This window comes from Homo sapiens, chromosome 6, assembly GCF_000001405.40.
Source record: "Homo sapiens chromosome 6, GRCh38.p14 Primary Assembly".
Lineage (NCBI taxonomy): Eukaryota > Metazoa > Chordata > Mammalia > Primates > Hominidae > Homo > Homo sapiens.
In genome coordinates, this window is record NC_000006.12 from 51,383,776 (window position 1) to 51,397,992 (window position 14,217).

The following is a 14,217-nucleotide window of genomic DNA, read 5'->3' on the forward strand; positions in this document are numbered from 1 at the left end:
ATGTATTATTTTTTATGCATAATAAAGTTTGAGATGCATTATGTTAGAGGGAGAAGTATGTGTATTTTTTTTTAATTTCACTGATCCCTTTTAAGATGTATTAATTAAGACAATGCTAATTGTTATGAAAGATGAGTTCAGTAATCTTTGGCTTAACACAAGACAAGTATATTTTTTGTTCAAAGTGAAAGTCCAGTTGGTGGTAGAAGTTGTGTGTTCTGCACAGTCATGGCTTGGGGATGACAGAAACTGCTACTTGCAACAATGGCTTCCCAAAGAAAGTCATCCTGAAAATCAGCATCCAGTAGCAAAAGGGAGAAGAGAGAGTGGAGAATCCTTTGGGCAGTTTTCTTGATCCTGGCCTAGTAGTAGTGAATCGCCCACATTCCATTGCTCAGAACTCAGCCAAACAACTCCACCTAGATGCAAGGGATGACTGGAAAAGATAATCCCAGGATGGGCAGTGCAATCCAGCAACAACTCTACCTCCCACAATGGAAGCATGAACTTCTAGCAACTAGTAATCGAGCTTTGCCACAGTAGGGAGATTTAGGAAGAGAGAGGTAGGACTTACTCCACTTCCCCAGAATCACCCTGGAGAGTCTTCAAGGCAAAGTCCTGTACCTTACAATTAGTTCTTTGTATTTTTGTATGAATTGCAGATACACTCTTATGGTTTTTAAGTCTTCTCAGGTATCAGCTTCAGAAGGTAGTCATTGTAGAGATTCATATACAATGAAAGTATATAGGTAGAGAACAATTAGAGTAGATGAAAACTCAAAGAAAAGAGGAGGCCCGAGTGGCCAACTGATATTAATTGAAATTAGTGTTTACAAGGCACATTCACATTTGTTATATTTTAGATGTAGCAACCTTATTAACTAGTTGTTATTGTCTAAAATTTTCGTAAAAGGAAAACAGGTCCCAGAGAGGTAAAAAACTTTCCTGAGGTCACAAAGCTGGTAGATCCAAGGCTTTCATATTCAAAGGCATCTTTATTGTAAAATGTGACAGAGTTGTGACAGACAGGCTTTGAGGGGTCCTCCATCATCCCTTCCTTCTTGTTGTTCATGCCCTTGTATAAACTTCACTTGAGGAGTCTGTGGGCAGGACTCATGATGTACTTCTAATCTACAGGATATGACAAATGGGATGAAATGTCACTCCCATGACTATGTTGTCTTACTAGCAGATGACTCTTTCTTGGTAGCAGATTTGCTGAAGAATCCGTCTCTCCTCATTGCTGGCTTTGAAGAAGCAAGATAACAAATTAATTAATCTCAAAATGTAAGAAAATGGATTCTGGCAGCATGCTGAGGAAGCTTGAAAGTGAATTCTTCTCCAGTCAAACCTCTGATGAGAACTCAGCCCCAGCTAACACTCTGATTGCAGCCTTGTAAGCCTAAAGAAAGGATATAGCAAAGCTATGCCCAGACTCCTAAACCACAGAAACTGTAAAATAATATATGTGGTTTTTTAAGCTGATACATTTGTGATCTTCAAGTTTCAAAGGCTTTGGGCTGTATTTTTATGTACTTTTAGTCACACATGGTTTTTGTACAGCCCAGTTAGCTCTGATCTGACAATTACTTCATCATTGATCTTCCATAGGTACAATTGCATTTTCAGCATCCAATTATTCATAAAAAATACAAAATGATAGCTACTGGATTTTCCAGTTGCCAAATCTTTATTAACCCAGCCATATAATATTTCATATTAATAGGGGCAAAGGATGATTTGATATATTTTATTGTAATTTCTTGACTCAAATTTTTAAAAAACACACGGAAAAGACTGATAGTATCTTTTTTCCTAACTCCTTGATGCTATTGTCATTTTCTTTGACCTCTTTTTATCAGAAGTTTTCTCCCACTTATAGCAGCTAATGTAACAGCTGCATGTTTGTGCTTATAAAATTTCATAAAATATTAGGAACCATTGCTTGTATGCTTTGTTTTTATTTTAAAGCTCTCATAGGATCCTATTTTGCTGAATAATTGAAGTATAAGGGCTTCAATCACATCTTCTACTTTTCCTACGTAATGAGTCCCACTCTACCTATTCACATTGCAGGCTATGAAGAAACCATGAAGAAGGGCTAGACCATGAAGGACAGGAGGAGGGAAAGTAGGCAAGGGGTGTTTTGGGCTCCAGCTGGGATCAGAGAAAAAGAGACACAACATTGAGTCTAAGCTCTCTCCCTCTAGCCCACTCTGGATATTTTGTTACAACCAGAAGGATAAGAAGAAGGATGAACAAAATAAATTATGCTCTTTTAAGATAGAAGTCAGATTCCTCTATTTTCTACCACCAATCAGCTCTAAGCAAAACCCAGTGCTGATGCTGTATGTATTTCAAATAATCTACATTTAGACTTTTTTTTTTTTAAAAAAAGCCTGATTTTAAAAAGTATGTGTTAAATGTTTTCATTCTAGGATTCCGTTAAAGGGTATCTATAGATGCATACCCACAGGTAAATTTGCCTTTTGCATATAAAACTAAAAAGTGTATCCTATTCTGTTTTAGGTACTGTAAATTTAATTAAAGGGATACTATCTAAGCCAATTACAACACTATAATTAAGACCAGGGGTCTTATCTTGGACGTATTCATTCATTCATTCATTCATAGTTTCATTAATCCAACTATTATTTACTGAACAACTACTATGTTCTACCTGCTGCCAACATGGCTTAGACCAGAGCTTGGAAATCTACAGTTCAAAAGTCAAATCCTGTCCACTGCCTGCTTTTGTAAATAAAGTTTTAGTGGAACATAATCATAACCAGTTGTTTACATACTGTCTGTGGCTGTTTTTACACCAGAGACCATGTGGGCTGCAAAGATGAAAGTAGTTACTATCTGGCTATTACAGAAAGTTTATGATCCCTGGCTTACAGGATAAGAGATATTGTGCCTGAGTTAGTTATCTGATTTGAATAATGAGGACATAAGTGTTTACCTGGTGAGACTTATATTGTTCGGTGTACATAAAAGTGATATTTTAAAATATGAAGTAACAAGAACTATCACTCATTGACAACTCGTCAATGAGTCAGGTGTTTTGCTAAGCTGTTTATACCAATGAACTCATTGATTTCTTACACCTACAAGGGAGCTACTCTCATTGGTTCCCTGTGACAAATAAGGAAATGGAAAAATCCAGTTTAATTAACATGGTTAGAGTGTCACTGCCAGAAACAGCAAAGCTTGTCCCCCCGGCTAAGGAAGATACATTCTCAGTTCCCTTATCTGCCTATCAAGACTGAGTATCTTTCTGGGCAGGGTTGGAGGAGAGACTGAATGAGAAAGCCAGCCTAAAGGCCTGGCTCAGCACAGAGTTGTGACATTATAATACTAGATTGTTTCTGAATAATCATCCTTAAAGATTATTTCACCAGAGCTGCCCAACAAATATATTTGGGCAATTATCCATTTTGAGTATATTTATTCTTTATGAGCACTTATGTCCAATGACATAAATGTGGTCTTAGAAATTACATGTAAATTGTATGCGCTCATGTACTATTTCTGTCCTGTCTGAATGTCTTGAATTCAGTTACTTAACTCAACCTGTCCTATGTGTCTAATGAAGTATTAAAGGCTATACTCTTTCTGTAGAACACTCAATATTAAATGATCCATTTTACATGTTATGCAAATCTTACAGTGGCATATGCTGTGAAACATATTTGGGAGTGAGGGAGGGAGTGGGTAGGTAGGTAACCACCCTAAACGATGAATCACTCTCTGTTTAAATGCTGTTCCATTAATTCAAGTGACATTTTGATAATAGCATGCTGTCAGTCCAATGGTCTGACCTATACAACAACCTCTAATTATTACTAATTAAATAATTAATTATTCATAGAAGTGCATGCCATTAGCATAGCAGAGATGTGTTGGAATATGAGTTATATGAGGTTTATGAATCTTCAGAAAATAGATTCTTTAATAAATTAATAAAGGGGCTCTGGGGTTTCATTAAAAGGTGGCTGGAGGGTGTGCTTGCCTGTTTCCAAGGAGACCACAGGTGGTTCGTTGCTTTTTTTTTAAGTTAAACTTGTTTGGGCTAGATGATTTTTTTTTTCCACCCTTTTCTCACTGCTCTGTCCTCAGGCAGAGAACGGAACATTTTAATGAAACCCCTGTTGTCTTCATATCACTTTGATCCCCCTGTGTTCTCTCCAGTCTACACATTGGCCAGTCGGATGAAGGGTTTCAGATTTTCCCCCCAGTATTAAAAACTGTGGCATGCCCTCCATGAATAAACAACATTGCAGTGGAGACCCAGTGAAAGAGAAAGGCAGAGCAAACAAAGGGATGAAGGAAAATGCATAAATTCAAATGACACCGGCCTCATTTACCCACTTAATTACCCTGACTCCTGACTCTGTTAGCCACTGCGATTATTTTTCCAGTTAAGTCTGATTTAAAGAACTGAAAGAAAAATAGGCTCATCCATTTTTTTCTCCCTCAACAATCTCTTTGCCACATGGAGTTCCACTTTTTCGTTATCTCACCATAATAATGATCATGGTAATATTAATATCTTCCAGCGCTGCTCACTAAATAGTGATAAAAATAGTAATATTAATGTTTTCCAACATCCATTTTTGATGCTCTGAGGCACATTATAAATTCTGTCTTTGTTTAAGCAGTGGGGAACCCACAAAATATCATTACAGTTATCATTAGAACTCAAGGGCACTCTCCAGAAACTGAAACCTAAGTGGGGCTATGTCAGCAAGCATTCCAGGGCCATGGATGAAACAAAAAAAATGGAAAAATTAATTTTTTAATACTGTTTCAACATTTGACCTATTTTGGAAAAGACACCTTTTTTTTTTTTTTTTTTTTTTGATCTGCTGGTTATTCTCACAAATGGCGAAGCAGCTTGTTTGTTTTTCTGAACTTAGCCACAATCAGCCCTTCAAAGTCAGTAGGGTCCATCCATTTTTCTCCCACTATCTTTCACCTTCTACAAACAGGAGGGGAAATGGATCTGCAGCAACAGCAATGATGTGCTTCCTATGCTTCCAGAGCCATGCGACTCTTTACTTAGGTAGTATTATATCCAGGTGAGGGATGAAAGAAAGAAAAGGAAACCTTCCCATGACTGAGCTGTGGAAGGCCAAAGTGGAAATGCTGAGTACATTTTCATTACTAACGGAGCCTGTTAAATGGAAACAAAGCTTTCCCTGGAAACCTGTAAAAGAAAATACCCTCTAGTGTTAGGCTTAATTTTCTGACATTTCCTTTTACCTTCACCCGCTCCATATGAAGAACCAGCTGCAAGCTTTGGCATACCCCAACCACTCTGCTATGGCTGTCAGTCACTGGGAGACTGGAGATACCTTTGCACAGTTGGGGCATGGAGTTAGCAGATCCTGGCCTTAGTTCAACACTGTGTGGCTTTCTCCATTTTTTTCCAGCTCCCTGGCTTTGGCAGGTCTTTTTTTGTTGCTTTTGTTTTTATTTCTCTCTTTTAAATTCTCTTCCTTCTCTTCCCAGCTCCTCAGATACACCTTCATCTGCTCCCATGTCTCCTCCACTCCATCGCTATGTGTCTACTTGGTTATTTTCTTGAAGCTGTCTGCTAAGTGGGCAGTTATTTTCATTTTATTTTTAATTTGGCAAAAAAAAACATAGGTGGCACAGTTTATAAGTATCTGGACTGGAACATACAATCAAGAGAGGTAAAATAATATCAAGCCATTATAGTTAATTGCTAACACAAACTGATGTTTACTAATACTTATAGGAATAAGAGTCATTGTAGGAAAATATTATTAACCCCATTGGCATCCAGGGCTCCACCCTCCTTTCTAAAAAATGAACTCAGGGAAGATTAAAGCCTTAATTAAACACATACTTTATTTCTGTATTGGCATTAAGTTTTCACAAACGACAGCCATTTAATGTAAAACTGACATTCTGGCATCAATCACATGCCCAGAAGAGTCAGATAATCACCAACAGTTTATAATAACACCACACCAGAATAATTAATAAAGTATGAAGTTCAATGAAAAGAAGTGTGTGCTCCCCAATAACACAATGAGAAGATATTCAATTCCATGCGTTAATATAAAGGTTTGAGGCTCTGAAAATTAGTGAAAGAAATTAAGTATTTGGAGGCTTGTGACAACTTTGCCCATCCTATCCATTTCGGTTTCTATTTTTTTCTTCACTTTTTTTTTTTCTCTGGCTTCACTAGATGAGATTTACTTCTCAAATTTGCTGGCTTTCAAAAGTATACCAATCCTCTAGTAAATTCAAACCATGTTAATATCAAGAGAGAAATATTCTGTTACAATATAATGATTATTTACATTCTTAAAGATATATAATTGCCTATTAGCTCCAACTTTGTATAAAGAAAGAGCTAGGTGATCTCTTGAAGTTTTTCCCAGACTTCTGAGTCCATCATTAACTTATCAGCCTTATGGCAATGTCTGTGCAAGCCCAGTGAATTATTGTTCTCTGTAAAATCAAAGCAAGAGGTTAGTAAAGTTAGCTATTTCATGCTGAGGTTTGAAAACTTAAAGTGAGCTTTTAGAGACACTGTCTTTACTTATCTAAGCCAGTGATTAATATTAATGAGGAGTATCATGATAAATCTTTCCATGCAAGCATCCATCCATCACTCACCCATGAAAACTTGACCAAGTGCTATGAGAAAATCAGCATTCTGAATCCTATTTGCAGACTTAGAAAACAAAAATGAAAACTTAAAAATGAAAACTTGGTGTTGTTCAGAATTATTGTTTGGAAGCATGTTTTAAACCCATGAAAGATCTTAAGATTGGCCTCCAAATTTGTTGCTACTCTGTTCTTTAAAGCCCATTCGTCTTGCTACTCTCAAAGCTGAATATTCTGTATCTATTGTCTTCTGACCCCCATGGAGCCATAATCAGGGGGTCCATTCCATGGGAGTAGAGCTGCACTCTTACTCTTATTTTCCCTTCTACATGGGCTTGAATAGTACTGAGTCTTCTACCTACCTCAGCTTCTTCCCCTACTCTTTCCCACTTTCTTTTTTCTCCTTCCTACAGACACACATGACCATTGCTCAGCTACAGTGAGACAATCTGGAGAGAAGTCTGTGTTTTATTTTAATTCTATAATGTCCCCCCATTCAACATGTTGCTGAATATATCATAATAAATATTTTTGATGAATAAGGTTGAATCAAGCCTATTAAACAATGTGGCACTGACTGGCTCTTAACTACTCTTTTAATAAATCTTTTTAATAATAATTTATATTTATACACTCATTAACCTCTATGGTGCTATTATCTGATAAGTGATAATGTACTACCTTTCTCAGAGACATTTGCCTTGTTAGAAAATATTATCTTTATGAAAAGTAATTATATAATAGTGATGCTTCATACACATTAGGGGAAATAATTTTTGATGAGGAACTTCCAATGTCTCTCAAATTTTGTTGCCATATATTGGTCTTGTTCTGGTTCTTTCATTAGTTGCATTTAGTATTTTTCAGCTACTTGTATGGTCAAATCATCATTATTCTGAGTGAGTAGAAAATCTTTGGACTGGATCTCAAAACAGGATTTTTCTTGTGGTATTAAGTTCCTATTGTTGTCATAATAATTACCACAAACTTAGTATCTCAAAACAACACCAATAGATTATGTTACAGTTCTGTAGGTCAGAAGTTCAACATTGTTGTCACTAGGCTAAAATTAAGGTGTCGGCCGGGCGCGGTGGCTCACGCCTGTAATCCCAGCACTTTGGGAGGCCGAGGCGGGCGGATCACGAGGTCAGGAGATCGAGACCATCCTGGCTAACACGGTGAAACCCCGTCTCTACTAAAAATACAAAAAATTAGCCGGGCGTGGTAGCGGGCGCCTGTAGTCCCAGCTACTCGGGAGGCTGAGGCAGGAGAATGGCGTGAACCCGGGAGGCGGAGCTTGCAGTGAGCCGAGATCGCGCCACTGCACTCCAGCCTGGGCGACAGAGCGAGACTCCGTCTCAAAAAAAAAAAAAAAAAAAAAAAAATTAAGGTGTCAGCATAGCTGCATTTGTTTCTAGAACTTCTAGAAAAGGATCCATTCTCTTGACTTTTCCATCTTCTAGGGGCCACCCACATTCTCTGGCTTATAGACTCTTTCCTTCATTTTCAAAGCCAGCAATATGCATATCTCTGACCTTACTTCTGGAGTGACATCTTCCTCTGAACATAGCTAGGAAATAATCTCTGCTGTTAAGGATTCATGTAATCGTATTGGACTGACCCAGATAACCCTGGATACCTCCTCATCTCAAGGTCTCTATTCTTAATTAGATCTACAAAGTTTCTGTGCCATGTAAAGTTATATGTTCACAGGTTCCAGGGCATAGACATCTTTAAGGGCTGTTATTCTTTCTACCATACTCATTATACCATAAAATATTTCAGAAAAAGGATATTGTCAAAAAGAGAGTTAGAAGATCAGAAGCATGGATACTGTATTATTAGGATTGAGAAAAAAGCAGGTGTCACACACAGGCTGAATAATCAAGGATGATTCAATAAAGACAATTTATAAAGGTAAGGGGAAGGGTAGAGAAACCACAGGGATGGGGCAGCACCACAGGGCTAGTGACAGCACCAGAGCCATTACTAACCCTTAACTGAATGGGCACTTGGAACAAGCAGTTACCAGAACCTGGTTAGATATCTGTATAGAGAGGGCTGCCTGACAAACGTGATGGCTTTTTGGTATATGGGAGTTGTCAAACGGGAATGACTGTGCAGGGAGATAATTTGGGAAATAAATGGACAAAGACTACTTTCCTCCATCCTCCTTCAAGCTTTTGCCAGTGCCATATCAATTATCCTCCACCCCATTGGCTGCTTCCAACCAGCAGAGGACAGCAAGGGAGCCCATCGACATAGTCCTTAAGTGCAAGACAGGATGAATGAGAGTGGGAAATACATCTCGATTGACAAACATAAGATGTTTTGTGCAAATGGCAAACAGAGCATCATGTTGGAGGAGGTAGGCACAACTTGAAGAAGATGAGACTATCCAGAGGCAAACAAATATTTATAAACAAATGGGCCAAAAAAAAGCTCTATAGGGACTTATTCTGACACCAATGACCATACTAAAAGCCTATATGCCCCAGATTCAGAGAGAAGGGACGGGACCTTAAGGACATAAAATCATGCCAGACAGTAATGGAGCTAGGCGAATACTCCTCAGTTGAAATCTGCATAGAAGTAATGACAGTCATAGATGGGAAATCACTCTGCGTGAATACTTTACACATACTATTTCGCTGGCCAGGTATGATAATTTTCCTGGTTTCAACTAGATCCTGAGTTGAATAGGACAATGAGTGGGTATTAATATTTATTGAGCACGTCCTATGAATTGGACACTTTGCATATATTATTTTAAAAAACACTTGTATAAACCCAGAGGCACGTGTTACTATCTTCATTTCACTGATGAAGAAATGGAAACTGAGTGACATTCAGTCATCTACTTGTACATTCACTCATTCAAGAATTGTTTATTGAGTGCCTACTGAGTGCCACTTAGTACATGAAGTATTTAGATACAAAGTTAAATAAGGCATAGTCTCTGTTTCTGTTCTCTCTTAAGCAGAAATATACATTTTAACAGATAATTTCTATAAAATGTGGAGCATAAGGAAGAAATATGTTCTTGAAAGCCCACCTGAATTCTTCCTTTAACCTGAGCTCATGCTCTTACCATATAAAGTATCAGTTCCCTGTCTTTGCATGTGGGTCTCCTGGGTGTATCCACCACTGGCAGAGAAAGAGTTTTCCATGATTTTGTGTTAACCAGGAGAGCTGTAGGCAACTGAGAGTCAGAGTCCATTCAGATAGCAAGATACGTGACAGAAGGTTGACTGTATTTCCTTTTTGTTTATTTTTATCCTCTCTCTGAGTAAAGGGAAAAGAAAAGAAGGCCCAATAATATTCAATGGTTGTTCACCAGGGTCTAATTTTGAAGAATGTATTGAATGGAAAGAAACTTAAATTTGGTGTATCCATCCTCTTCCATCCCATTGATGTGAATATTTCAAATGGTTCATACACTACACACTCTTTCAACACACACACAGACACATACCCATACACATAAACTCCTACAACAGCTGAGTCTGGGTCCAGGCTTCTAATCCTTCTCAGTCCAATGTCCCAGGTAGCCACTTCCAACGGGTCAAAGTAGTCCTTGAAATGTGTTAAGACCAATGAAGAGTAGTGAAACACTTGAGACTATGTATGTCAGTGGTAGGCTGTTAAAGTGGTCATGATATGCTATAAGGATACAATTTTAGGCTCTCAGGAAGCTATCAAAGAACTTATTGCTACTTCTTACTGTATCTCTGCCCAGTGAGCTCTTAGTTACCTCTTTGATTGCTTTGCAGCATATATGTAGGTGATTTCCTAAAGGTTTGACATCTTCTAAACATTTGGCCATTCCAGGTTAATGGTTAATCTGGCTTCAGTAGCTCTTAATAATGTGTCTTTGTCCTCAGGGTCCTTGCTATGATTACCTTTAGGCAAGGTTATCCTTGAGAATCCAGGCAAATGGGGGCTAGAAATATATCTTACAAGTCCTTCCTGTAGATTTAGAAAGCAAAATCTCCAACTTAGTTAAGGCTAAAAGCCAACACAAAGGAATGGATCTTGGCCTGAATGTATCTTACAGCCTTAAATAGGCTACAACTAGACTCAGTCAAAGACTTCATCAGCCTTGGAGATCTGCTAAGAAATCCCATTTTCCAACTTTACCAGATGAAGCTTGGGAGGACAATTTAATGCCAACCTTGAGGCTGACTACATGGAAGAGAATTACTGGTCTACTAGATGGCCTGATATCTGAATCATACTTAGTTATCAATCCTCAGTTTCTTGTACACGATTATACAGTGATATCTCACATGCCAAGATACGGAGGTGGAGGAGTCACATGGTGTCTGTCACCTGAGAGAATTTGTAAGGAGACTGGGAGTGAGTCTGTATAAGCTGGAGCTCCCAAGAGCGCTTCTTGGCCTTTTCCACTTCCAGTGTATTTGGATAAATGTATATGGGTATTTCTGACATTACCCTTAGCTGGATATAGGAAATTGAGTTATATGCAAATATGAAATGCAAATGAGAGTCACAGGTCTGTGCCTCTGCCACAGACCTAGAAATGAGAAAGGAAAAGGATATAAGCAAACTGGCTATAATGTTCTAGTTTCCACCAAAGCTTTGGTCATGTTAGTGTAGATGAATCAGTGAATAAGTATCAGTTACCTCATTCATATACCTCCTGCCTTTCTTTCTTAAGTATTCCTAGACTTGTTGAGTCTCACTTGAAATATACCTTAAGAATACAATTTGAATGCTAAAAGTTATAAACCCATAACTTCCCATTTGAGGAGAGATATCAGACTAAACAAACATCACAGCAAGTCCTCTGTGGTCACTTTATCTTCATGAAGCATCCCCTTATTATAAAAATATATGTTATAAATGTGTCTTTTCTATTATCTAATAGATAACACATAAATATATACAAACATGTAACATGACAGTACATACCATATAACATATAGATGTATAAGATACATGTGTTTTTAAAATCTATGTGACATATCACATATCTATGCAGCACATGTATACATGTACACATATGTGATGCAAATATATGCACACATGCAAAATGTTTATAGCATATGTTGCATGTAGCATATATGCATGCAATACGTATATATGTATTATAAGTCATGTGTGCACAGTATGCACATATATAAATATACATTGCACATTTATGTGAGTTGGTAAGTATATAACATATATCACATAAATAATATTGATAGCATACAAAATATATATCTATATAACATATGTACCTAAACCATAAGATATATATGTGCATATCTCTATATAACAGAAGACATAATCTTCATAACTATTTATAACTTCAGAACACATACATAAAACACACACAAATAACAATTTAAAAAATATGTGTACATGTATAATATATTATAAATATGCTCTCCTTTCTCTTCCAAATTGAAATTCATAAATATAAAATGATTTCACATGCAATTTAAATATTTAATAAAATGCCCTTTAATAAAGAAGAAATAGAAAGCAATTATAATAACATAATATGCATTCCAATTTGGAAAATCTTAGGCATGACTACACTAGAAGTCATGGTGATTAATTAGATTTTTTTCTTTACCCACTTACAATGACTATCTTTGGATTAAGAGTTATAAAAAGGTCGTAAGTCATTGCAGTCAAGCCAAAGAGGAAAATTAAAGAACTGAGGTATAAGCAAATACTAGACTAAAAACTAGCATTAGGTTACATAATAACAGGCCAAATTTATTTGCATAATATGAGAGCAAGAGAGAAGTAATCCTAACTGAAGTAGGGATATAATGCTAATCACCCCATATATTTGCATACATGAATGGACTGTGATATACAAAACAGTCATGAGTGATGTAGGACAATTCTTTATTGTGTCAGACTGCTCAAACACTGCAGGACATTAGCATCCCCGGATCTCACCCACTAAATTCCAACAGCACATCCAACTATTGGGACAACCAAAATTGTCCCTGTAAATTTCCAAAGCACACTCAGGGACTAGACCTCTCTCCTTGAGAGCCACTGTTATGGGAAATGAACTAAATATTGCTTTTATCCAGATCTTCAACCTCCAATTAATGGATCTGAATGAACAACAGCATACAATTTAATTTGAGATTAATAATTCTATTCTGTTCATATTTAAAGCAACTTTACAATGTTTCCATATACTGAGTATTCTTAGCTGTCATATCATACATGTAATAATGTAAATAGGTCTCAAACATTTGGTACATTTGGTCTACTCAGGATAGTCTAAAACTCTAGGAGAGGTCAACATGTTAGTCTTGCCACCCATAAGACCACTTATGCAATGAGGATAATGCCACAGTGATATATATAGATGTCATAGTGAAAGCAGCCTTAATAATTAACATCCTTTTGTACTCAATCTCATTACTAATGTGGTTCACATATGGCCTAGTGAAACTCTGTACACAGGAAAATTGTATTAAAATATATGAAGAGATAGCTTTCAAGGGAAAATGTCACCAAAGCATAATACATTTTCTCAGGGGTATCAAGAAGGAACAGTCTTTTAGCTTTGCTTGGTGATTTTGGGGGCAACAGAAAATGACAGTATGAGCATGATTCAAAGACCTTTTCTTAGGACTCATTTGCCCTCGCTCACAAGGTCATTGCCCAAACTACCAAAACTTCCCAAATATAGGGTTTGAGATGACCACCCTGATTCCATGCATCCTTATAACACTCTCTAAACAACAAGGAGTAAATAGGGATTTCATTGCTGGCATTCCTGTATCCAACCTGGGTGATGAGCTACATTTAAATGCTTCAAAGTCACAGAGAAGATACAAGTGTGATTTGCATTTTGTTCTGAACAAAATCTTAAGTAGTCACATTTCATACATCAAAGAGAGTAAACTCACAGTAAGAACCATTGCATATGTTATCTACTCTTATGTGAAAATGTATGGGGAGGTGCTGGACTTCTATTTGTCATTGATTAACAATAACAGCAAATATTTGTGGAGCATTTATAATGTGCCAAGTATTCTTTCAAGTGCTTCACTGATACTAAACCATTTAATCCAGACAACAACTTTCTGTAGTATTTTCTATTTCTCCAAGTTACAGATGAGAATTTGGGGTCCAGAGAGATTGAGTAACTTGCCCATGGTTACATATTAGGAAATAATACACATGATTCAGATCCATATAGTCTTGTCGCACAGCCTTCTCTTTTAACAAATACACCCTATTGTCTCTGTCATTCTTTACTGTCCTGCAAAAGAAATGTATCACCTGTGTTTTAAGAATTAAAGAGAAAAATTTTGTGGTTGGCTAATCTGGTCTTGATGCCTGATTATAAAAAAAAAAAACAAAAAAAAAATCTATAGCATTGTCAACAATCTATTTCCTATTTCTAAAAGAACTTTTAATTTTCTCACTAGCCTTAAAAAAAGTGTCTTTTTTAAAAAAGCAGCTGACTTTCCATCTTATTAAATGTCTACCTTGCATAATGTCAGAGAAACTCATTCTAATGCTGCCCAGGAAAACTAAGATTAATTGGAGTTAAATCCGATTGAAGGCTATGTAAGCTAT

The 14,217-nt window shown here is 36.9% G+C and overlaps 1 pseudogene; it reads right to left on the reverse strand.

Moving 5' to 3' along the window:
- On the reverse strand, positions 1,526–2,051 carry TIAL1P1 (TIAL1 pseudogene; annotated as a pseudogene).